This window comes from Homo sapiens, chromosome 8, assembly GCF_000001405.40.
Source record: "Homo sapiens chromosome 8, GRCh38.p14 Primary Assembly".
Lineage (NCBI taxonomy): Eukaryota > Metazoa > Chordata > Mammalia > Primates > Hominidae > Homo > Homo sapiens.
In genome coordinates, this window is record NC_000008.11 from 13,375,822 (window position 1) to 13,402,883 (window position 27,062).

At 37.1% G+C, this 27,062-nt stretch overlaps 1 protein-coding gene across 6 annotated transcripts in view; it reads right to left on the bottom strand.

Annotated features, from left to right (window-relative positions):
- The window catches only part of DLC1 (DLC1 Rho GTPase activating protein), a 521,260-nt gene that overhangs the window by 292,461 nt on the left and 201,737 nt on the right, over positions 1-27,062 (bottom strand). For all 6 annotated transcript variants that reach the window (NM_001348082.2, NM_001348081.2, NM_001413124.1 and 3 more), the window contains exons 3-4: positions 25,649-25,798; positions 17,732-17,872 (exon numbers count right to left, since the gene is read on the bottom strand). Coding sequence is in view for 5 of the 6 variants with exons in the window: in NM_001348081.2 (NP_001335010.1) it covers positions 17,732-17,872; positions 25,649-25,798 (291 nt within the window). In the remaining variant the exon portion in view is untranslated. The remainder of the gene's footprint in view (positions 1-17,731; positions 17,873-25,648; positions 25,799-27,062) is intronic.

The following is a 27,062-nucleotide window of genomic DNA, read 5'->3' on the forward strand; positions in this document are numbered from 1 at the left end:
GATGCCACTTTATGGAGTAATATTTGGCAGAGTATTACGCTTTTGTTAAAAGAATACAGGAGGAAAAAATGTATATCTCTCTATATAGTCAACATCGGCTACAAAATATCAAGGAATAAGGAGATCTAGGATACCTGTGAGAGTGACTTGTAGATTTTCAAATTTTCTCCTAATATTTTCACATGCACGAACCGAAAAGAGTTTAAATCATGTTGCTCCAATTACTTTTCCAAGAAAAAGCACCAAAAAGAGGAAAACCTTTTCCCACATCGTCTTCGTGGCATCCGCTAGCTGAAGAAAATGGTTTGGCCATGAGAAACTGATCACATGATTTCTTATGCTTCATGTCTGTGTATTGGCTCCCATTTTCTCTTCCAGAGAAAATGGAAAACATTTTCACATTGTCCAGTAAACACCATACAGCAATGCATGCAGTTATTTACTTGCTTTCTTTGAATAATGGGAAAAACAGCGGGGTGCTGCAAGTGAAATAAGTCCAAACGGGAAGCATTTGCTAATGACAAACATTCTCCTTCCTCTATTCCTCTAAGTAAGCACTCTGGTGACCAAATCTTCTGCGTGACTTGGTGCTATAAGAAACATGGTTGACTCCCGGAATCCCACCCATCTATGAGGTGTAGAACCCCCTCCTCTTCTCCCTGCCTGCAACCTACCCTTTCAATCAGGCAATTTTAAATATGGGAAAGGCAATATGGTTAGAGTAGAACGTGTGATTTTGTTGAATAGAGAGTTAGAAATGTTAAGAAATAAGGCAGGTGGGTAGCTCAGGAAGAGTGATTTGATTTTTTGGATTTATAAGTAGCAAAGGGGGAGTTGAAATTTAGAATTATCAGTATAGTTTGTGTCTTTCTGTAGAATTCTGCTTCAGGTAACATTTCAAAGTTTTGGAAAAGTAAATTCCTGCTTTCACCCACAGAGGAGTTAGAGGTGACTGAAGCAAGATCAGACGGCTCTTTTGAGCCAACATTTAATCCTAGCTCTTGATGAGTGACTCCAGTCTATGGGTTTCACTGGGTCAGGATTCTTCACCTGTTCAAAATTGGTTACTGTGGCTGATTTCATGGCTATATGGTATAGATTATATGTGTCAGCAGATTGTAAATATAAAGAGGAGAAGGAAAAAAAATCTGGTAGAAACCAGTGACAAAAAGCAGTAGCTAATGAATCTTTTGGATGCTTCACACTTTTGCACTGTGATTTACTAGTTCTTGGTTTGGGTAGATTAAAATCTCTTTGGTGGAGTAAGTTGAGAACAGTGTGTTTCAGTGACGATTTCTAGGGCTTGGCTAAAGGTATCCACTCAGTTGTGAATTCTCAAGTCCAAGGGCAGCATCTTATTTCTGTTTGAATTTAGTGGTTAGCATAAAGACTGACACATAAGATTTCCAATGTTTGTTCAATGAATGAGTGAATGAAAAGGAATGAGTGTAGAAGTGTGGAATTTGGAAGTAATCATGCATATGTATATAAAAACTAGCCCTTTAAATTACATATCCTTTGATAAATAATCTAAAGATGGTCACAAATATGAACAATTCTGTGACAAGAAGAAATTTGCCAGCCACAAGTGTCTGCTTTGTTGTAAGGAGGACAGTTATTCAATAACGGCTTTTATAAACTACTATAAACATACTCTTTCAAGGTGAGTAACCTTGAAAATTAAAGTTTGTAGAAATGAAAACAGCAAATATATGTCAAAACTGCTTCCTTATCCTAAGACATCAATTTTTATAGACCTAGAGCAAAGTCAAATATTCCCTTATCTATACTTTCCTGTGCATTTACTGTGCGATACACATTTTCATAACGTTACAAGCCCTGAAACGTCTATATTTTCATAACATTACAAGTCATGAAACGTCTTCTGTGGATTTAACCTCTGAAATTTTTTTTAACAGTACTTTAAAGGTCTCTTGTTTTGGAACATTGGAGGCACAAATCTTGAATAGGTGGCGCCTAATGATAAAAGGGAAATTTGTGTAAATCTATTGGCCTCCTATTTCGAGTCTTGTGTTTGTGAAGTGATATAATTTGACCAGAAGATGGCAGCATTCTGAAAGAAAAAACAAAAACAGGAAAACAAAAAGCAAGGTACTACTACACTTAACATGTTTTTATCAAAGAATAAAAATATGTTAAGTGTAGTAGTACCTTTGAAGTAGTACTCTTTTAAGTGTTAATGATGTTACTATTTTAATTAGCACTGATCTTTTTTTGGACATTATCCTTTTTTTTAAATTTTATTTTATTATTATACTTTAAGTTTTAGGGTACATGTGCACAATGTGCAGGTTTGTTACATATGTATACATGTGCCATGCATATGTAACAAACCTGCACATTGTGCACATGTACCCTAAAACTTAAAGTTCTTTTCAAGGTGTAAGATGTCCTAATTCCAGAAAAAAATCTTAGTAATTGTAAAAGTCTACCTGTCCTATTTCTCATCAGAGAAGAAAGTCCTTTGAAAGGCCCCACAGTTATCTAAATGCGATAGAATTTTAAGTTAGTGATGTATTAATTCTCTGTAGGATTCAAATATAGTGTTTGAAAAGACTACATATGGCAATCAAATTTGTGATCCAAGAAGAGATTAAGTATGTTAGAGTTTTCCCTAAAATATCTGTATTGGGTGAAGGAACATTCTTGTGCACTATAAATTACATGGTATAAAAATGCAATGAAAAAAACCTGAAAAGATTCTTCTACAGATACTATATACATATTTATTGAATTATTTCACTTATTTACAAACCTTTCAAAACCATGTATTTTTATCTTAAAACTATTTTAAATTCAGACACCTTATTACATGTTTTTTTGTTACATGTTCTTTTGTTTGTAACAATATTGAGAGTCTTTCATCAGCCTGAAAGATGAACAGAACTTCCGTTATGTGCCTAACTTATTAAAACTTTGATTTAATTTAGTTCTAGAGATGCAGAAAAGAGCATATAGTTCATGTCCTAGTAATGTCCCTTCCAATTCATACAGCAAATATAATTACGAATAATCCACTCTGACAATATTCTTAAACCAATTAATGGGTTATGTTGTTTACTTGGTGTAACTCAGAGATATGCTAGGAATCAGGATAAATAATAAATATATAATGTTAACAGTAATGAAAGATATTGAAATAATTTTAAGTTTTTGCCTCAAGCTTTTAAATGGCATCAGATATGCAATAAATGTTTTCTGGTTTGATGATAACATTTTAATGAAAGTTTTCACAGGTATTTGGTTAGAAAAATTGCATTTAGTGTTCCAGTATTTCTGAAATGTCAAGAAAAACGGTTCTTTAGTCTAAGTCTGAATAAAAATAGGTATCCTTGGGGCCTGTTTCCTGTGTCCATGCTGCTGAAAAGTCAGAATTTGTTCTTTTTACTTGCCTGGAGTCAGCCTGGCCTAATTGCCTTCACCCATTCCTGATCTGACCGTTTGAGACCCCACAACAGTGCAGATGCTCCTTGACTTACAATGGGGTTATGTTCCAATGAATCCATTGTAAGTTGAAAAAAAATCTTAAGTCAAAAATGCACTTAATACACCTAACCTATTGAGCATCCTAGCTTAGCCTAGCCTGTCTTAAATGTGCTTATAACACTTACATTAACCTACAGTTGGGCAAAGAGATCTAACACAAAGCCTATTTTGTAAGTGTCGAATATCCCGTGTAATTTATTGAATACTCTATTGAAAACATATTGCTTTTGCATCAGGCTCATGTCAAAAAATTCTAAGTCAAATCATTGTAAATTGGGGACCCTCTTTACTTATTGCTGAAATCCATCCTTATTTTATTTTATTTTACTTCAAGTTCTGGGGTACATGTGCAGAACTTGCAGGTTTGTTACATAGGTATAAATGTGCCATGGTGGTTTTCTGTACGCATCAACCCATCATCTAGGTTTTAAGCCCCTCAGGCCTTAGGTATTTGTCCTAACACTTACCATAGAATACTATGCAGCCTCAAAAAAGATTGAGTTCATGGTCTTTGCAGGGACATCGATGAAACTGGAAACCATCATTCTCAGCAAACTAACACAGGAACAGAAAACGAAACACCGCATGTTCTCACTCATATGTGGGAGCTGAACAATGAGAACACATAGACACAGGGAGGGGAAATCCATCCTTCTTAATCCCAGAAAGCTGCTGAAGTTTCTAGATCTCAGCAGCAAACTGAACTTTACAAAACCTTTCTGGCCAGGCACCATTCATTCCTTGTCATTGGATCTCCTCCTCACCACCACTCCCATAAAAGTTTGACTGGGATGGAAGGAAGTTTCATTAGCACTTGCTAGAACTGAGGAAGGAATCAAGCTGCATAATAGAAAATTATGTCATAAAGACCACAAATAAGAAACGAGTTAGAGTCTAGGCAAACTGATAAACACTTATATGTTATTCTCCCCGGAAAACTACTTGGACCCATTTTAAAGCAGAGTCATCATCACTTTTTTATTGTGTTCAAATTTATTTGTATTTGTTTCCATTGTAAGTCAATATTCAAACTATTTTGTAGTGTTTTAACATGTCGTCTGACCATTTCATGTGTTCTAATTTAATGTTTTAAAGAAAACCCATTGTTTAATATTCCCCTTCCTCCACCTTTTTGTGGATATAAACTCTGCTTTTATCAGGACAAATTAAGGAACCAAAGGGTGGTAGTCACCCCACTTTGGGTTGTATGTACCCATCTTTAGTCCCATTTAAATATAGTATTAATGAATGACAAAAAATACCACTATAACCTTGACTCTGTGGTTTTACATTCCTCGAAGTGTTCTTATCTCTCAGATGGCAGCAGAGATGAAATGTGCTCCTGGTATTCATAATCACAGCTCAGGACACAGCTCCCTGTGATCGGATGTTAAAATTAAAATTTTGACCCAAACCCTAAGGGGACAAATTCGATATCAAAGTAAGTAGTGAGATAGACCAAGCTGCAGAGCTTGCAAGAAGTATTTGGAGGAGAATGCATTCAAGACCTCAATTCTCCTGCCTTCTTGGAGGTTATAATAGGATCAAGAATTGAGATTCTTGCACGATTTGGGAAAAAGTGATTTGGGATTTTTGTATGCAGTGAAAACATCCACCTCCAACACACTTTGCCCTCTAGGGAAGGGTTAATATGATGCCTGCCCTCATTTCAAGGCTGATGAAAGGGACTTCAAAGGGACCTTATAGACATGGAGGGCTTGACATGAGTCCCTGTAGTGTGGGAGACACAGGAGCCTGACCTGGCTTGTTGGGGTGTCTAGCTGGTAACAAGCCAGAGGAGGTGTGGCTGTATTAGTATGAGCTAAATTCTTAAATTTGGCTGGAAACTGGCAGTGCTTGTGTTTCTCACAGACCAGAGATGTATCACATGGCATCGTGTAAGGGCCTGTCCCTAGGGTTGACTAGAGATATAAAGAAGCCTCAGCCGGGAGAAGATGAAAGTGTTCACGTATCTCTACAGGTTGTGGAAAAAGTAACTGACCTGCAAAAAAGGAGGTGCAAAGGCCACGTTAAGGAGATCACAGGTGTGGTAGCTAATCTGCAATACATCCTCCAGTGATCTGTGTGTCCTGGTAGATATGTCTGGTAGAGTCCACTGTCACATTGATTAGGATAGGTTCATATGACCAGTAGAATACAAGAGACATCTTGGTGTGTGACTTTGAAAGCTAGGTCATAAAAGGCGTGGCAGTCTCTGTCGTTGTCTCTTAGATTTTTCACTCTGGAGGAACAAAGCTTCTATGACGTAAGAACATTTTGGTTGCTTCACAGAGAGATCCAGATGGAGAGGAGCCAGTTTGTAACCACATGAGTATACTGTTTTGGAAATGAGCCAGTCAACCCCCAACTGCAGCCTCATGAGAGACCCTGTCCTAAAACTGCTTGAACAAAACACTACTGAATTCTCAATACCTGCAAACCATGGGACATAATAGATGATCAGTACTGTTTTCAGCCATTAAATTAAGGGGGATTTGTTATGCAGCAATAGATGGCTGGGATGGATTTTTAGGGCACCATAACAAAAAAACTAAAAACTGACAAAATATGATGGAGACTTTGAGATTGGGAGGCAGGTGGATGCTAGACAGATGGAAACAGAGTAGTATTGAAAGGACATCAAACATACTGTTAGCATAAGCCAGGTAGCTTTTGAGGGGGCTTTCAGTGAAAGGTTAAAGAAAAATAAAGAAAGTGTTATTAGAAAAAGGGAATCCTTCTTATTTAGAGGAAAAAATTTAGCAATATTGTTGTGTGTGGTAATGTAGAAAGTAAAAAATGTACCTAAAGAATATAATGATCTAGATAAGGAGATTTCCAGGCTTGGTTAAAGGTAATTTCTGACTTCTTATTACGTATACTGAAATGAAAGAGGAGGCCGGGCGCGGTGGCTCACGCCTGTAATCCCAGCACTTTGGGAGGCCGAGGCGGGCGGATCACGAGGTCAGGAGATCGAGACCATCCTGGCTAACACGTTGAAACCCCGTCTCTACTAAAAATACAAAAAATTAGCCGGGCGAGGTGGCGGGCGCCTGTAGTCCCAGCTACTCGGGAGGCTGAGGCAGGAGAATGGCGTGAACCCCAGGGGGCGGAGCCTGCAGTGAGCCGAGATTGCGCCACTGCACTCCAGCCTGGGCGACAGCGAGACTCCGTCTCAAAAAAAAAAAAAAAAAAAAAAAAAAAGAAAGAGGAGACAGATAAGCTAAAGGAGTATTAAAATATAAAGGTGCCAGAATTTGTTGGATTCAAAAATAAAACTTTGTTTCTTCACAGCCTTTCTAGACAGCAAATGATACTACAATAAAGAAACAATGAAAAACAAATGTAGATCATACTCAAGAAAATATGGTCTCAAAATAAAATCCTTTGCTAAGACCTCAGAAATACCTGAGATGATACTTCAGAGAACTATTCAGGCAGTTCTAAGTCCTCTAGAATTTTTGAAAGATACTTCACAGATCCCATACATTAAAAAGTAGGGCTTAAAAGGATTATGAAGACAATGTCTTTCAGAAGCCTCAATAGATGTCTGAGGTAGAGAAAGACATATCTTGATGAATTTTGTAACTGTGACTTTTGTGTAATGGAGTGAGCCCTAATAAGATACATAAGAAATACACAAAGTTGAAAGAGATCATATGAGCAGAAACACCTATAGCTTGGCTCAAAAGTTCAGAGATAGTGAAAAATTAAAAGACATCTTTGGACCACCAAAGTATCACAGTCAGAAAACAAGATGAGAAATCATCTCACTTGCAAACACGGGGCATTTCATTAGAAAAAGGAAGAATGACTCAAAGGGCACATCTCACAGGAAGGAACTGGTGGATCAACCCCAGGAAGCGGTATGAATGATTCCAGCCAAAGACCTTCAAATATGTGCCCTGTTGTTTTTCAGGATTTGTATAGACCAGTGACACTTACGTGCCTTCTGTTTCCTCCTTTTATTGAATGAGAGGGTCTACGGTTGTTATTCCATATCTGCCATACCACTGTATGTTGGGTGAGTTTGCATATGTTCAGAGAAAGAGGAACTATACCGGAGGGGCTGTGCTTGAGGAAGTGCACCTGAGACCTGCAGCGTCTCATCTGCACCTGGATCTGATTTATTTAACAAAATCTTGAACTTTGAACAGATGCTATCTTTTGGGGGCCATTTGGAGCAGGCTAGTGCTTTTGCTTGCATTAGAGACATGGCACATTGTCACATTGTGGTAACCAGCCTCCAAGTTGCCACCCAATAATTCTTTTTATAAACATGCCCTTGTTTAGACCTTTTCCAACATTGAACAGGGCTAGTCTGCGTGATCAGTACAGTACAGAAGATAAGACAGTTTGACTTCCTTGATTTCTTTCACTTGCATCGGTGGAAGTCAGGTGCCACCACATGAGAATGCTCAAGCATTCCCATTGAGAAAAATGACATAGAGAAGAGCCAATGTTCGAACACCAATATTTCAGCCACACGAATAAGCCAATTTCGAAGTAGATCTTGTAGCCCTGGTAAAACGTTTAGAGAACTGCATTCCAGCAGACAACTGACTGCAGCCTCACGAAAGACCCATACAACTAAGTTGCTCTAAATTTCTGACATGCGTGGAACTGTGAGATTAGCTGCATAACAACCCCCTCTTAATTTAATGGCTTAAAACAGTACTAATCATCAATTATGTTCCATGGTGTGCATGTATCAGGAATTCAGGAGTGGTTTGTTCAGGCAAGGTCTTTCATGAGGTTGCGTTATTGTTACTTTAAGCCACTAAGTTTATAATTTATTATACAACAACAGATAATCGATATAGCAGGCAAGAGATTAATATCTTGTGGACCTACAGATTGCATATTTTCATCCAGTGAGAACTTTCCTGTTCTTGCAAGGCCTCTGCCCCCCATCACAAAGGTGCTAGCAAGTGATGTATAGAATAAGCTAGAAAGGAAAAGGAAGCAGAACACTCCCACCCCACAATCTTCCCTCGATGCAGGTAGACACCTACCTTGAGCAAGACAAAACTATGTGTGTGAGCGTGCGCGTGTGTGTGTATCATTGGACTTAACACAAAAAGAAAACTACAAATACAAGTGGGAGAATGATCTCACAACTTTGATATATCCACGAAATGCTAAATGTGAAATTAAATATTTGGTTAATATTTGCTTGGGAAATATCTTTAAATGGAAATTCTACTAGTTTTCAATTCTAAACGTTCATCTTCTAAAAAATCATTTAATATTCTGACTTACATCCACAGAAGAAAAAATGTAAAAAATAATGTCCAATGATCTACCTAAAACCCTGTGTTCTAAAGTATTGAATTTGTTCTACATTAAGACCTCAATGATTTGGGCCAGCAGAACCATAGACCCGGGCTAGGTTGAGTTGCTCTAATCTGGTGTCTGCTGTCTTTTACATTTTGTTTTTGTTTCTTATTGTCTGTCCAGTCCAGGGTTCAGAACTCACTGATGAAGAAACCTTAGAAATGAATGCAATGCCTTAGCGACAGGGAAGTACTGGGGGCAACTTCGTGGGGATGCTCTTGGAAATGAAACAGGCTTATCCTAGAGGCTGGACATAAAAAAAAAATTGTCAACATTTTCCTCTTTCTTATAATTTGTTTAGTCTAGAATTTAAATGAAATCTGTGTCATGGATTACTCAAAGAACATCTTATAAAGAAGGCCAATATATAAAAGAGATAAAGCTCAGTCAGCTTGGCTGGGACAGGCAGAGGACGGCAGTTTTGGGGGTGCCCTAGAGTGCATGGTGGGAGCGGCCCTGATTTATTTGGTTATTAGTGCTTGTTTGCATCATTCTCTGCATTTCATATTATAACTAATTTGGTAAATGCTTATCTAGTAAATTACTACAGTCCTGATACAAAGATAGGACCTTCAAAATGAATAAAGAAAACAACAACAGTAACAACAACAACAACACAGATAAAGCAATCTACAGTAAAGAGGAAACAATTAGAGTCAATTTCATAACATCAATGGATTTTCCTTTGAAGGAATCTACTGATTCAGGAGGTCATCTGGATTATACCAGCTGGCTAAAGTAGAAAGACTAGAGAAACGCTAAAACCCAACAATGACAACAAAAATCTAAGGAGTATAGTTGATTGATTTAAAAATAAATGAAGCGAGTACATAAAGTATTCATTAAATAACCAAAACAGTCAAGGATAAAGGAGGTTTTCAAGTGGTGGCATCTTAGGACTTTATGAGGATACAGAGTAAACAATTCCTTTACTTTCAGATTTCTGTTACATGATTCCAAATATTTATATATGTGATTTTCAGACTACTCATATGGTTGGCTTATATTTTTATTGTTTCATTTTGAAATTTGGTATGTGATTGATTCAGCTCAAAACTATAGTCAAGAAGGCCCTCTGTGTAAACTTTGTATATTCACATGAAATCCTTGCTTAAACCTTTCAATGACTTTAACTGTCTTTAAGACATGAGCACAGAGGCCATCAAATGCCTGGGACAGAATTAATTATCAATCTGTTAGCAAGAAGGTAGAAAAATATGGGAAAATATTTAATATGTAATTAGAGCTTGGAGACAACTAGGTTTGAAATGAATAAAGTGAAGACTGTGAAAATGGCTTACCAGTTATTATTACTCCTCAGTGCTATGAATTATACTCTTGGTTGCTATGATGTGGCATGCTGTTGGCTTGCCATTTTTTATTGCCCAGAAGTAACTGGCAGTTGTTATTTCTCTTGGACGAAAATATGAGTTGAATTCAAGAAGTCACATTGGTCCACGGAAAAACTAAATTTTTCTCATTGTAATGATGATAGCATGCAAAGTACTATTCATATGACTAAAGTCTTAGGTTGCAGGAATGATTTTTAAATATTATTTCTTATGCTATTAATCTATTCAATTCTAATCTATCATTCTTATGTGTTCATTTTTTCCCGTATTTCTTTTGGTTTTATGAATTCTGCTCCAGATACTTAATTAACCAGATTACTACAAACTAAACACAAGGGAGAAAAACAAGTTTGCCAGCCCCCAAAATTATTTAAGTATCATGTGTTCAGAGCTAAGTATTATATATATCAAGATACAAGTTATTCTCGACAGAATGAAATTCTAAGATTCAAAGTGGAAAGATGTATATGAGGAGGTGACCGTGAAGATGGAATAACCCATCACAGACAAGACTGTCTTGAGTTAACATGTAAATGGATTGGAAACAGACGTCAGTATCTGAAAACAACAAGAAATTAGAGAATTTTGAATTTATTTTAAATATAAAAGTAAATGGCCGTGGAAATATTTCTGTTTTTCAAAGTCCAAAATTAATGAATTGCACACTTATTTATTATTTCAAAATCCAGACTAGGTGAATGAAATCCTCTGTGCTTTTAAATCACAGAATTCTAGGAAATATCACATTATAATAATCACTGAACAATTTCCTTTTTAGAAATATTTTTTCCAGCTCTCTGGTGACTCAGTTCTTCCTTAAAAAGCTATAAATTTTGCCTATTTTTCTTTCTAATAAACAATGAGGATCTTACCAACAGAAGCAAATCTTTCTTTAAAAATCCACATACTTTAATGTGATTGCTTTGACATGGCAAAATGAAATTGCCATATTCAAAAGCAAGACATCAAAAGACATTCTTTTCTAAGACTATTACATTTGTGTTTAAATGTTTTAATTAAAAACTGTATTAATTCAAATTTTTTGATGTTTCTGAAGAAGTTGTCTAAACTTCCCTTAAAAATTCCATGTATATCGTTTTTTCCTTTAGTATGTTGACTGTTTCTTTCCTCAGGATATGAAAGCTAATAATAACATATGTGACATAAAATACTATTTAAATTCTAGCCAATTTTATATATTACCTTGAATTCTTTCCCCAAGACTTCAGTGAAAATAAACATTTCCAGTTTCTACTTGTAAAAGACAGTACTTTATCCTTCTGTTTTGTTTTAAATATTGAACAGCATTAGGGAAAATCACCAGTCTTCTTAAAAAATTCATCTGATAACCATTTAAGCAAACATATAGTATATGATAACATGGTAAAACAAAATAAAGCTATCACTAAAAATTTGCCTTTAAATTTAATTTTAAATGATACTTTAAAATGATGTGAAAGGTAGAATTTCAAGATTTTTTTTTCAGTTTCATTACCTCTCACTAATATATCACAAGCACAGTGACTTTAGTTTAATGATCATATGTATGGGATATGTGATTGGATTTAGAAATATAAAACCTGGTTTACATTGAAATTACTAAGGGAAAACCTTGGTGGTTTTTCTCTTGTTTTTGGATCAGTTTTATTTTTGCTTATATGTGGTATAGTTGGAACAAATGCAAATGACATTTTATAGTTTCATAGAAGAATCAGTTTTCACATATACCTAAAGTATAGCCTAATTTATTGCAAAGGTAATACCGTGCAATGATCCATTAGGAAATAAACCCAAATGTCAATGTACCTGCAGCATATTTATTATTTGTAGCAAAGACGTTCGCATGTTCAACACTGGGTTCCTTCACTGAATGACTGAACCGTGAAAACTCAAATGTAGCATTTCTTCATGGGGATTTGCACAGTCTTTGAAAGACTGATGGAGTTCTTGACAGTCTTCCCAGAAATGTGTAAATGTATACATTTTAAAATTATATATAAAATATGTAAAACCATGCATACATAAATTATGCATACATAATTTAAAATATAATTTTACAGGTTCAGGAATTTAGTTGATTAATAAATTCCAGAATAAGAATTGTTTTTCCTAATCCCTTGTGGCTAATTCATCATGGATTAATGTCGTACTCCCAATCAGACTGTCTTAGACATCTTTAATAAATAACACTCCACTGAAATAGTATTTTATTGGCATTATAATTTTTATTTTTAAGTAGTGCTACCATTACTTTTTCAGTGGCAATAATGAACAAGTTGATTATTGTTTGTAAAAGGTGCCCATTAACCTTTGTTCTTCTACCTTAGAAGCTTTTCTGTTTTGAAACTATTTCTCAGATCATTCCAGAGCTGAAACTCCTATCCCAGACACAAGCAAAACCACACTATACATTGGTAACAATAAATCTGCATTTGTGGTTTCTGTGTTTATCCTGAGAAAGTTTTATACATAATTAATAAATATAATTTATACTGAAAGATTGTATGACTACATAAGAACTTAATAATTACTAATTTGGTTCCCTTTAAAAATTCTACTGTATAGTTAAGAATTATTCAACACAGGCTTTTTGAAAATAACATCAAAATAACACTTCAGAAAATAATATCACATGTTATTTTTGAAAAATAACATCTGATGTGAATATATGTACACACACAAGGACACAAATATATGCATATATAATCTATTTTATATGTATACATATATATACATTCATTCATACACATACATATATGTAAACATATCTATAAAATCTGTGGTGGATATATGATTTAGAAAATGATGTTAAAAGCCTGTAACCTACACTATGCTTGGAGGAGCCAGCCATTTTTTTTATTGTTCAGTAAAACTCTTCTTGTGCATTGAGCATTCAAATATTAGTGACATTTTGTTTCTGATATAATAACAGCTCAAGCCAATTTATATTAATTCTGAATCCAGGTGCTGAGCCTGTGAATCCCTGTAAAGTATAGCGTTCAGGAGCATTGAGGATCTGGGTGCCATATCCTGTGTACTCTTGATGTTCTTGATTATTCTACACAGTAGAATGCTAGACTCTCCTTGTTCCTTCAGTTACTTATTTTACAAATAGGAAATTTTTCTTGTTTTCTGGGGCTTGGCTCTTTTCTTCATAAATATTTGATTAATAGTGATTTAATGAATATCTGCACTTATAAGTAAATTATCTTTAGGAAAAACAACCACAACAAAACCTCAGAGATTTTAATGTTCAGCTTTAAAACCTTTCGTGAAACAATCCTATATTAATACCAGGAACAACTCAAGCCACTGAAGAGAGTGATATCAGTGTACTGTTGCACAGTGAATCAAAGCACTTTACATAACATGATACAAGGGCTCGCGGGTTGTTTATGGAAGAGTCTAGTACGAAAGGCATTGTGAGATTGTGTCAAAAGAACAAAACAATTTAGGAGAGAAATTGATGAGCTTGGTAACATGACACCATAAGCCTCTTCTTTTTTCTAATGTGTTTTTTGACAGTGGATAACCTACATTTTAACTTTCATTTTTTTATGAAATATACCTCAGAAATCTATATTACTGCTTAATTTTCAGCATGATCTACACATAGAATTAATGAAAAATCTGATGATGACTCATCGGTCCTATTCTAAGAATAAGTTTAAAAGAAAAATAATCTTACTGAAAAATAGGCACTTAGAAACCCAGAGACCTTACACACAAAAGGAAAGCCAAATTTCTGTGGTTGTTACTGTGGTCACTACTATAAATAGATTTCATAGCAGCAAATCAAAGGTAACCTTAATTATGGAATGAAGGTAGTCGTGCTGTAATGATTGTGTCATTACAGAGCAGAGGGTTAGTTCATTATAGTTTGATGTGTTAGGTAGGTGTTCTTAGAATTTCATATTTCTACTTAAAATTAAAACTTTTGTTCATGGTAAAAAGAACAGCTCTGTAGGATATTACAGTTTTCTCTCTCTTCATAAAGTATCTAGACTGTTATTACATATCATTTATTCCTTAAGCTCCAAATTGTGGGAGAAAGTATCTGTTTAATCTCTCATAGACAAAATTCTTCATTCTGATATTCCAACCATAAAATTGATCCATGGCCCAAGAATTACTTTTGAACTGTAGTGAAAAGGGTGTACCTAAAAGAATAACAACACCAATAACAAGAAAAAATAACATGCCCACACACAAATTGAAAGAATGATTCCCCTCAAAACAAAAGTGTAGCTTCATGCATGCCCCTGCAAAGGACATGGTCTCATTCCTTTTTATGGCTGCATAGTATTCCATGGTGTATATGTACCACATTTTCTTTATCCAGTCTATCATTGATGGGCATTCGGGTTGGTTCCATGTCTTTGCTACTGTAAACAGTGCTTTAAGTGCTTTAATAAACATACATGTACATGTGTCTTTATACTAGAATGATTTATACTCCTTTGGATATATACTCAGTAATTGGATTGCTGGGTCAAATCATATTTCTGATTCTAGGTCCTTGAGGAATTAACACACTGTCTTCCACAATGGTTGAACTAATTTTCATTCCCACCTTAAACCTAGATGGCAGGTAGATAGGTGCAGCAAACCACCATGGCACACGTATGCATACCTATGTAACAAACCTGCACGTTCTGCACATGTATCCTGGAACTTTAAGAAAAACAGGCCAGGTGTGGTGGCTCACGCCTGTAATCCCAGCACTTTGGGAGGCCGAGGCGGGTGGATCATGAGGTTAGGAGATCAAGACCATCTTGGCTAACACAGTGAAACCGTCTCTCTACTAAAAATACAAAAAAATTAGCCAGGCGTGGTGGAGGGCACCTGTAGTCCCAGCTACTCGGGAGGCTGAGGCAGAATGCCGTGAACCCAGGAGGCAGAGCTCGCAGTGAGCTGAGATTGCACCACTGCACTCCAGCCTGGGCGACAGAGCGAGACTCCGTCTCAAAAAAAAAAAGAAAAAAAAAAGAAAAAATAGCCTGTTTTTCAAGTTACTCTTATTATTGGCCATTTAAAGAAAAGAAATTTCGTAAAAGTCGATTGTCTTTGATGGTGGAGTATTTCTTTCTGGGTACTCTTCATGGCCTGCTAGAGAACTTTACTAAATTATAGTCCAGTAGCTGGACAGAGCTGCATGTGTATTGTCTAAGTCCACCTGTGCTGCTGGTCAAGATTATTTTGCAGTGTTTGGTGGTGTTGAAGAGGAATACTGTTGTGAAGGCTGAGTCAACTGCATGACAATTCTCATGGCTCACTGGCTGATGAGTTGTGGCATGACTAGAAAGCTCTGCTTGTATTCCCAGATGACAAGTCACACCTGAACAGCTGGATACTACTCGCATCCAATTTGCTTCCAAGTTAACATATTTTCAGAAAATATTTGATTTGGAGTACATACAAATATTTTTCTGTTCAATAATTGATTTAAATATTTCTTAATTGCGATTGTGGGGTGGTCAATTGATGGCAAAACAAAAAAAAATTGAAGAAAGATTCCATCACTCTAACAAATTAAAACACTGTGAAAACTGATGAGTTTATGTTTCTCATAAAAAACTTTTACAAAAAATGGTTACCATAAAAATGTATACGCACTTCTGTGTAACTATATTGACCATATTTATAAACACAGGGGTAACTGAAGAAAGAGTAAGCAACTGCACACATTCTTCAACTCATTGTTATGAATTATGAGACACTCAGTCACTGAAATGTGTATGTTCCAAGAGAGAAAGTGGATACCACCAGTAATTATATCAGGGAGAAAAGAACTGCCCTGCAGGATACTAACAGGTGCTTTACAAAGTGAATTAAATAATAAATACCTTTAAAAAGTGAGCCCCACACCTGTCCCCAATGTTGAAAAAAAAGAAAAAGCCAATGCATCAATGATTTTCAAAACCTTCAAGTCAAAACTGTTGAGAAGGTTTTTTAAGAAAAACATTTTCTTTAATCAGAATATGGTAAAATGAGATCTTCCATTTTCTTATCTTAATTTTGCATCTCAACTTTCCTTACCCATTATGAAAATGAAGAGCACCATTCCATTTCAGTGTACCTGTTGGCACACATTACTGTTGATTTTTCAGTTTACCCCGAAAGATCATTGTGCAGTATCTTTCTAGTTCCTCCTATTCCCAATATATGCAGTATTATCATAGCTTGTACAGCATTTCATTGCGTTTCACTGTTTACATACTTACCTCCTTTTGCTGGAATGTAAGCTGTTTAAAGACAAGGAATATGTTTTATTCCTCCCCAAGTCTTTTTCATGTAGCCTAGTGCATGGCATATAGTAGATGTTCAATAAATATTTATTCCATAAAAATGTTTTAGATATAAATAACACAGGGAACATAATTTCCATGTAAATATTTAAGCCATGCGTATCTGTCATTTAAATGACATATTTTCATTCTTCTTGCAATTGCAGCAAATCTGTCATGTTTTAAAATCAGAGTATTATCTTTTGAGTCCTATTTTAGACTTGACTTTTATTTTAAATGCAGTGAACAAGCAATCCAAACTTGTTTCTTTGTGTTGCATAAAAAATAATACAACACTATGATTTTCACTAAACTAGGAAAGGTTATTTTGGAACTACTGGGATTTTAGATATTTGAAGTAGTAATTACTTCCTTCATAAGTGTTACCTTTTAGAGTCAAATACTATTTTCCTGTTGCAGTTCAACTCTTTCCTTAAAGGAAAATGTCTTTTATTCACAATCTACACATGAAGCATTTCAAACCAAAGCAGTTTCCTCCTTTCGTGGTGTATTATTCCATGTGGAATAAGTTTTAATAGCATTGTAAAGTCTACTAATTATCATAATAATAATGACAGTACCTTACATTTATGCATTACTTATTCTGCACTGATCATTTCACTAAGCACTTTTTATATGTGCTCTTTCATTTAATTCCCACAGAAAATGTTTGATGTGGATGTTTTATATATCTCTGCATATAAACCTATTATCTATCTATGTCTGTCTATATCAATCTAAATATATTTATATAATTATTATCTGTCTATCCATCCATCTACATCTATCTCTATCATCTGTTTCTCCTTATCAATCAATCAGTCTATCTGTCCATCCATCCATCCATCCATCCATCCATCATCATCTGTCGTCTATCATTCATCACATCTTAGAGGAACAATTTTCTAACTGGTAAGCAATACTGTCAAGATAATAGTGTAGGGAAAGGCATCTCCAGATTTTGCATTCTTGGCTCTTTAAAGCTCTGAGTATCCGGCAATGAAATTTAATTAGCACGTTTCGAATAATTCTTGATTCATGACCTGTTTCAGTGAAGTACTTGTGTTATCATTTATAAAACAAAAAACATTTTTCTAGGGTTGTACTTAATTAAATAAATTAAATATCATTAAGTCACTATGGCTAAGATTCCAACAGTATTTCTTCTATATCGAATGAATATCAACTCTTACCTGATGATCATCAACATTTACACGTAGAGACTCTCTGTTATTATTTAGAACTCACCGTAGTCTTGGGTTTGGTTCCAGAATTGGCTACTGGAGTGGAAGATGGGAGGTCCGTGGACTCAGTGTCAGAAGACAAATTTACTCGTGTCTGATTTACTGAAATGGTATCTGCTCCACTTTCAGATCCTGATTCCAGATCCTATTAAAAAACAAATGCACTGGTATGAAGGACATGTGAATGTTCCCAAATGCCCTTCTTCCTACCACCAGAACTTTGTCACTTCTTCTTTCTCCCAGTGCACACTGATACACTAAAGAGTTGCTGACAACTGACAGTGACGTGTCACACATAATCATGCATTATTTGGTAAGAACCATTGTACTCATCAGAGGGTCTGCAAATACTTGAGAAAGAGGTAACATACTATTTGGTAATTTAACAGCTGAGTGTGCATTGGAAAGGCAGGGAGTGTGGCTAGCTAGGGCCCTGCAGAGAAGTTAGAAGGCAGAAGCCCACAGCCACACCTTCCTTACTGTGTGACCTTGAATCACTCACTGACACTCCTCTGACTATACAGCGCTGCCCAGAGTTCCTCACAGGGCCACTGGATTTCAAATACAAAGAGAGTTCTCATTTCTTCTTACCTCAATCTCTTCTATGTTCCTATTCAACCTCTATGGTGACAGCTATTACGGTGGCCTGGAATATTTGAGCTGAAATGTCTATCTAATAAACTGAGGGCAGGAATTATGTCTTGTTATGTGTCATTCAATTCCCTTGTTTGAAAATGGGTATAATGATAGTAGACACTCATGGAGTTTCATAAGCATAAAGCAAAGTGCTGGTAATTGGCTCCTAATAATTTTCATTAAATGCTAGCTACTCCAATAAATATTGTTATTATTATTATGTTTTCTTAGCAACTACTACATAGTGTGAGGTCAAGACATGTCTGTTGAGTGGATAGAATTACCTGGTAACCTCTGCAAAGGCTGCGCATTTAATATATCATATGCTTTCTTTGAGTTATAGGTGGTTTGGTTGCACAGAGGAAAGGTGGGAGGGGGAAATTGCAGAGGGGATGGAGCAAAGGCACGTATCACTCTAGGCTTTTAATCTGAGAAAACTATGATTTAAATATCTCTATGTATCCTCTTTATACATCTCAACTTTGCCGTGGTTCACATGGTCAAATATCATGTCCCGCACCCCAACTCTCCAGTCTTAGCTTTGCCATTCTCTTGTTTCTCAGTCCTACCTCCTCTTGATAATTTCTTTTAATACAGTAAGCTGGTGTCTACAGGAGGGACTAGGCCCTGTGCTCTTTCTTGTCCCTTGTCCCAGTATTTCCCTTTGCTGGCCCCTTCTTGTCACTCTGTTGTCAGCTTGAATCTTACTACCTCAGAGAAGCATCCGTTGACATTTCAAACCAAAGAACTTCACTCCCTTCAACCTCTATAACATATTCTCTATTTTCCAATCCTCTTTGCTTGCTAATCTACTACATATTCTATCTATCTATCTATCTATCTATCTATCATCTATCTATCTATCTATTAGGTACCTATCTACCATCTATAAATTTGTCTACCTTCCTATCCATCTATGCATCCATCTCTCTTTATAATTCTTTTTTTTTTTTTGGAATGGAGTCTCACACCGTCGCCCCGGCTGGAGTGCAATGGCGCAATCTTGGCTCACTGCAGCCTCCACCTCCTGAGTTCATGCAATTCTCCTGCCTCAACCTCCTTGAGTAGCTGGGATTACAGGTGCACACCACCACACCCAGCTAATTTTTTGTATTTTTAGTAGAGACGGGGTTTCACTATGTTGGCCAGACTGGTCTCGAACTCCTCACCTCGTGATCCACCCGCCTTGGCCTCCCAAAAGCTGGGATTGCGCGCATGAGCCACCGCACCCAGCCTCTTTATAATTCTTGTCTGTCTTCCTCTATTAGAATCTATGCATCGCAAGAGTAAGGACTTCACCTGTCTTGTTTACTGATGTGTCCCCAGGTGTTAGAATAGTGCCTGGCAGATAGAACATGATCGTTAAATACAGTTTTATGAAGAAACTACTAGACTGACAAATATTAATACCTTTTCTTCCTTAATTCTCACAATAGAAGTAATTTTATTGTTTCTGCTGTAAAATTATGTGATCAAAAGCATCAAAACTAAATTTTCTCCAGTTGGAAGGGTACAAAAGACATACGCAGCAAAAAGTAATGTTACACTCTTTAAATGTATGTGCATGTGTGTGTGTGCGTGTGCGTGTGTGTAGAAGACATAACTCTGAGCAAATTTCTGATGCCTGGAATGATTTTGGATCAGGGCCATGTCTTCTTCTTCTTCTTCTTTGTTTTTTTGCATAGAAAAGACAAACTACATTTTACCCTAAGAATATGATTCATTAGAATTTCAAATTGGATCAACATCAAGTAGTCTTAAATAGCAGATAATTTATAAACATTGAATGCATAATCATAAGTAGCAGGTAATTTATAAGCCATTTATATTTGACCTTTAGGTATATCAGAAATATTTTGCATTAATTTCTTTTCTTTCTTTTTTTTTTTTTTTGAGACGGAGTCTCACTCTGTTGCCCAGGCTGGAGTGCAGTGGTGCGATCTCTGCTCACTGCAAGCTCCGCCTCCTGGGTTCACACCATTCTCCTGCCTCGGCCTCCCGAGTAGCTGGGATTACAGGCGCCCACCACCACACCCGGCTAAATTTTTGTATTTTTACTAGAGACGGGGTTTCATCGTATTAGCCAGGATGGTCTCAATCTCCTGACCTCGTGATCCGTCCGTCTCAGCCTCCCAAAGTGCTGAGATTACAGACGTGAGCTGCTGCGCCTGGCCTTGCATTAATTTCCTGTTTGTGATTTGATTAGATAAATAACAGAGTAATCTTGTATCTTTTGAACCATGTAATGCTTCCAAGGTGAAATAATAACTTTTAAAAACTACCGTTTATTGCATTTTTACCTTTCACAGACAAGGCTTTACAACCATTATCTGCTTCAATGTTCATCACCTCTACGTGGAAGTTACCATCATCACACGAGAGATGGTGGGTGAAGCCAAGGCTTAAGGTAAATAACTTGACCAAAGTCGTATCCCAAGGTAGAGCTGGCATTAGAGTTCAGGTGTGTCTGACCCCAGAATCCAACTTTTTAAAGTAACCACCATGATATTCTGCAGAGGCCTCAAACACAACTAAATAAGTAATTTTAATAGGACCATCAATGTGTAGTTTAGTACAAATCTTTATTATTTTCTCTTCTGTTCTCTGTTCAATTTGAGAAATTACCCAAAAGCTCTCCCAAAATCTCTCACATCCGCTCCCTCCTTTAATTTTCCACTGCTACCATAAGCAGACCAAGCAGTGAATAAACCCTGGGTACTCATTACAACTGCCACTCATAATTTCCCTGTTACCCGCCCCCCCCAACCCAACTTGCTTTGTGTAATTAATCCTACAGGCCATCTTCCTGCAAGACTCCATCTATCAGTGTTACCCTATGCCTCCAGTTATGCCATTCTTTGGGAATATAGAGCTCTCTGTGGGGTTTTTATCATGGCAGGGACTCCAGTGTGATGTGTGCTAGAAGTGCTTATACCACTCAACTCTGGCCCAGGGAAGGGTGCATCTTGTGATCCATTGGTTGTTCTGATCTGGAGACCACAAGAAAAGGTCTCACTGCTGACCCTCAATATAGAGAAGGGAATGGAAGCTGTGGTGATTCCCAGGGAGAATATTCAAAGCCAGATAAAGGGAGAATTGAGTCTAGAATCTAGATATAAGATTTCAGGGGCAGATATAGGAAGAGGAGCCACTGAAGGGTCTGGAAAGCAACTGTTGAAGAATAGAAGGAAAAATGGAGAGCAGCCAGAAGCCAGGAGAGCAGTGAAAGTCAAGGAAGAGAAGCAGGTAAATCACATCTGATGCTGTGGTGAGAGACTGCACTGGCACTACTGAATTTGTCAGACAAGAGAAGGAGTGAGGAAAAATGATGGCGCAATAACCAATAATTAAATTAAGAAAGAGACTGGGTATGATGACTCATGCCTGTCATCTCAATACATTGGGAGGCCGAGGTGGGAAGACTGCTTGAGGCCAGGAGCTCTAGACCAGCCTGGGCAATGTAGAGAAACCCCATCTCTACAAAAATTAAAAAAAAAAAAAATTAGCCAGGCATGGTAATGTGCGCTTGTATTCTCAGCAACTCAGGAGGCTGAGGCAGGAGGATTGCTTGAGCCCAGGAGTTTGAGGCCACAGTGAGTTATTGTGCCAGTGCACTCCAGCCTGAGCAACACATATTAAGCATGCAAATTAAAAGAACAAGACCTTGGCCAGGTGTGGTGGCTCACGCCTGTAATCCCAGCACTTCTGGAGGCCGAGGTGAGCAGATCACGAGGTGAGGAGATCGAGACCATCCTGGCCAACATGGTGAAACCCTGTCTCTACTGAAAATTCAAAAATTAGCTGGGCATGGTGGTGCATGCTTTTAATCACAGCTACTTGGGAGGCTGAGGCAGGAGAATTGCTTGAACCAGGGAGGCAGAGGTTGCCGTGAGCCTAGATTGCGCCACTGCACTCTAGCCTGGTGACAGAGCGAGAGTCCATCTCAAAAAAAAGAACAAGACCTTGTCTCTAAAAAATAAAAATAAATTATAAATCAAGAAAGAAATTAAGACAAAGAGGAGATTAAAGTTTGGCTTATAAAGGAAGGGATGAGCTAGAGCAATTCCAGAAAGAGAGTCAAGAGGAAAAAGGAACAATTAACTCTTCCCCATCACATCTCTTCTCCCTATCCACTAACAGCAGAGTCAAACTAAGGAAGGATTTATTGAATAGGTAGGTGGTGGAGAAAATACAGAATGTTGTGGTGAGAGACTGCACTGGCACTGCTGGATCTGTCAAATAAGAGAAAGGATGGGGAGAAATGATGGAGCAATAGCCAATAATTAAATCAAGAAAGAGGCTGAGTATGATGGCTCATGCTTATAATCCCAACACATTGGGAGGCCGAGGTGTGAAGATTGCTTGAGGCCAGGAGCCCTAGAACATAGAGCTGGGCAACATAGAGAAACCCCATCTCTACCAAAAAAAAAAAAAAAAAAAATTAGCCAGCCATGGCGATGCATGCCTGTAGTCCCAACTATACTTGCTAAAGAGAAAAAGGGTGAGGACTAGTAGGAACAGAGCAATGGAATTTGAACCTAAGTGAGAGTCTGAATAACTGGTAGAGCAAAGCAGGAGGTGGGAAGGAATGGAGATGAGGATGGAGACAGATCAGTATTAGATGACAGGAGCAACACATCTTTGATTGATGTTGGAGGAGAGAAAGAAGCAAAGAGGCACCTATAGCTATTTGCAGGTGTGATGCCGGGACATCTCTCAATGGTCTCAATTTTCTATGAGAAGAGGAAGGCAAGAGTGTTAAGAGGTAAGGATGCTAAGAGATAAGTGCAAGTAAAATTGTTGAATAGCCACCTTGAAATGTGGGAGAAGATCCAGGGAGACCAAAAGATACTGCAGAACAGCAGGGGAGGCCCAATCAAAGGTGGTACAGTGGTTCTGGCCTGTGTGTGTCTGAACTTCCCTACGGTATCAGTGAAATATCCCAAGAGACCGTCAACTTTCCCTTAATTACACATTGACTAGAAAACTATTCCTAATTCAAACTTCAAAAATATGTCATTATTAGGAAGAACATGCTCTGACTGTCTGACAACCAGGGAATTCTGGTTCTGGAAGTGGTACTTATCTCATTGTAAAGAAAAAACTGGCATGTTGGGAAGGTTTCTAATGTAGCAGAATGAGCATAGGCTTTGGAGTCTGACTAATGTGGATGCAAATCTCACCTGCTGGGTGACCTTTGGTAAATAACTCACCACTCTCCGTCAGTGTGAACACAGGTAAATTACTCATCCTCTCTCTCTGAAGCTCACATTTCTCATGGTAGGACTGTCAAGAGGTTAAATGAAGTAACTTACATAAAGCTTAGCACTCACTAAATACTTAGTCTTGATCTGATCCCCTATCCCCATTCATCCTATGAGATTGGCTATCTCAGCGAGCCCTAAGAGACTGGCACACTCTGAGTGCCTGGGTAAAACCAGGCTTGCAAAGGAGAAAACCACCGGATCCTGGGCTGTGTCAATTCATCAGGCCATAGCCAATCTATAAGGTTTTATCTATGCAGCCTCCTTAAACCTTTATCTCTACCTGTGCTTTAATTTATTTTTATGTTAAAGACATCCTTAAAGACTATATTATTCTTGATAATTTTTATTATATGCAGAACTTCTTCTGGCGTTTTCTCATAAATATTCTCAAACTGGGGTGGGGTAGGGGGGCGGTGAGTGTTTCACTTTGTGTCTTGTTCTTCCTGCTGATCTATAAATTCACAGTGAAGTATGAGGATGGGGCAGAGGCAGTTTGTCCTCTGTATCTGGGTCAGTGCTCCTTGGTAGATGGTCCAGGTCCTAATCCTGCCATTATAATCCTCTTATTCCACTACACAATTATCAGAAGGAGTGGAAAGTTCTGTGGAAAAAAATTTGATGGTGAAAGAATGTTAAAATTAGCTTTAAATTCCAAGGAACATAAATAAAGAACAAGAGGTGACCTAGAATATCATAAAGATCAAAAAGGAGTTTTGAGGGCTTTGGGATATGTCTTATTCATCTCTAGCTCAAGGCCTGGTGTGAGTGAGTCTAGTATAAGGGGAAGGAAGGAGAACTGACCATCACTAAATATGTACTCTGTGCTTGATCCGTGCGGTACTTCTTATATACATTTTTTCATTTATGCCTCCCAACGAGCCATTAGTTAGGAAATAACATCTCCATTTTTCACATGAACCTGCAGTTGAGAAATTAAATAACTTGATGTTCCCAGAAAGTCAGGTATAATGCTGACATTTGAACTCAGACCTTTACACTACAAAGTTCATAATGTTATTCCACTGTATTATTTTGCCTATTCTGAATACATCTCTATTTACAGAGCTAACAATTGTTATATTCTGTGGGCTGATGTGTGCAATATAAAACCCAGTTTACAATTTAAATAAAGGCAGAAGAATTTGTATCAAATAATTTGATATGCAACAGTTATATTTCAGTAGGTGCTCAAATTTATATATATGATTTTCTACTGCTTTGATCTCAGGTAAATACAAATTTCTTGACTTAATATGTTTATTATTGAATAACACAAATAATAGATGAGTTGAAAAGTGATTCATAGCTTAATTATAAGTAAACTCAACCATCCTAGATCTGCACAAACTAAGGCCTTTAATATGATGCTGATAGTAAATATGTAAAGCATATAGTTGATCCTAGAATCTGTCTTCCAAATTTTGAGTGTTGGACTCTTAAGAGAGTGTCTATATTATGTAAAACTGATGCATAATAAAATACAATTCTCAGCTCTGTCTCTTTCACTGTATTTCACTAAGTGAATTTTAGAGTTTTCCCAAGTTAATCTCATCTAAATTGTTTCTTGTAGTGTGTTGGGTTAGTTCAACTGGCATCCATCCATCCATCCATTTACTCATGCAGCAAATCTATAATAAGATTCTTCTATATGCAATACAGATTTGTGGGCCAGTCATAGACATAGTGCTTGCTAACAGAGTCTCTCTCGTATCAGAGAAGACTGACAATTAAGGAAGGTTTGATCACTACAAACCATAATTTCCTAAGGTGACTTTCCTTCCTGTTTAATGATAAACAAGTTCTTTTGTATCACCCATTTCTCTGTGGCCTCTCTGCATAGAATTATGCATAGAATGTATGCATGATGCATAGAAGTATTTTGGTTATCTTTATGGTACTGTACTGGGGTTACATGTTGTTAGATGCCATTAACAAGGATGTTGCCTTTGCAAGAGGGACTGTATAAGGTCAAGAGTTACGACTCCTATGGGAAAAGAAGTAGAAAGTGGAAAGCTCACAGGAACGTGCCGCCGCAGGTTTGTTGGTGTGCCTGATGGAGAGGAGCTGGTGCTGAGGGCATTTTCTATGTCCTGATCAAGCTGGTCCAGTTTCATAATCAGCAGCACCATGGAGTCCAGCCGCGCCCTATCTCGATCTTCTCTTATTTCCTGAGGAACAGAACATTTTGTTACTGAATCTGAAAGGCCATTTCTTAATAAGAATAAAAAGTTCCCTGTTCTTCAATGTGACAAAAAGTACACTGGATAATAGGCAGTCTTTAATTAGAAGAGAAGTTCCATTCTGTATCATCAATGGGCTCTTCATTGGGAAGACACTGACCTAGTGCCAAGAAAGCATTTTACATGAATATTAAATATATATCTTGTAAAGCAAAGTGCAATGAAAAAAGAAGTATAACACCTATGAGTAATGGCATGTATTTACTATTTTCCCACTACCTATTTTTGGGAAAGGTTATATATTTTTCTTCTTTTTTCAGAGTACAAATTGATTATTTAAAAGGTACTAATAATTATTTGTGGCTAGACATTTAGGGATGCATATGAGATTATATTTTTGGAAGACTCTTTTGCAGTATAGTAAAAACACTGGAAAAGAACTAAGCGAGGCAAGTTTTCAGTTTGTGCAGGGGAACAGTTTTCCTAGCACAGGGCCATTTAGCCACTGCTACTTAAAGATATATCCTTACTAAAATCTCTTCTCTTGAGTTTCTTTTATTTTACACACTTATAAAACAGCTCCCACAACAATTTGTATTTTTGTAAATGAGTATGGTTACTTATTCTCAGTTCTCTGTACTACAGACATATGTTGATAGAAATATTTTTAATCATAGGAGTAGCTAAAGCTTCTCATAGAGCATATAGAGTTACTTGGGCATGACTCAACCATTCTGGTGTGTTTAAGTCAAGTCAATTAGTTCTAGGAATCTTCCAGATTCCCTGTGTTGTACAAGGTATTAGGATGGGGTACGGTATTGGCTAAAAAAAAATACTGTAGAAAGCACAGTTAGGTTCTTCAAAAGCAACATCTACAGAGAAATGTCGCACATGCAGTGTTGGCTCTTTTGAGGCAAGTCATCATTTGTGACTTATGTTGCCATCCTCTCCATCTGTCTGATTGTATTGATCTGGGTGAAATCAGCTTTAAAAGGACCACCAGTGGCTGATGTCAGTGGAAAAATACATCTTGACAGAAGCCTGAGGGCTATCAGTACAGTGATTGCAGATTGAGGGTTCACTTTGGTGATGGTTCGTTGTGAGATGAAAATTGATGATGGCCTGAATCACAACTTCATTTTTTTAATTTTTTGCCATTTATTTTAATCCTTCTAAATTCCCCCAGCCACCATTAAAAGGCACCCCCAAAGAACAGGGTCTAGGATAATTTTGTGGGTTAATCTAATTTTAT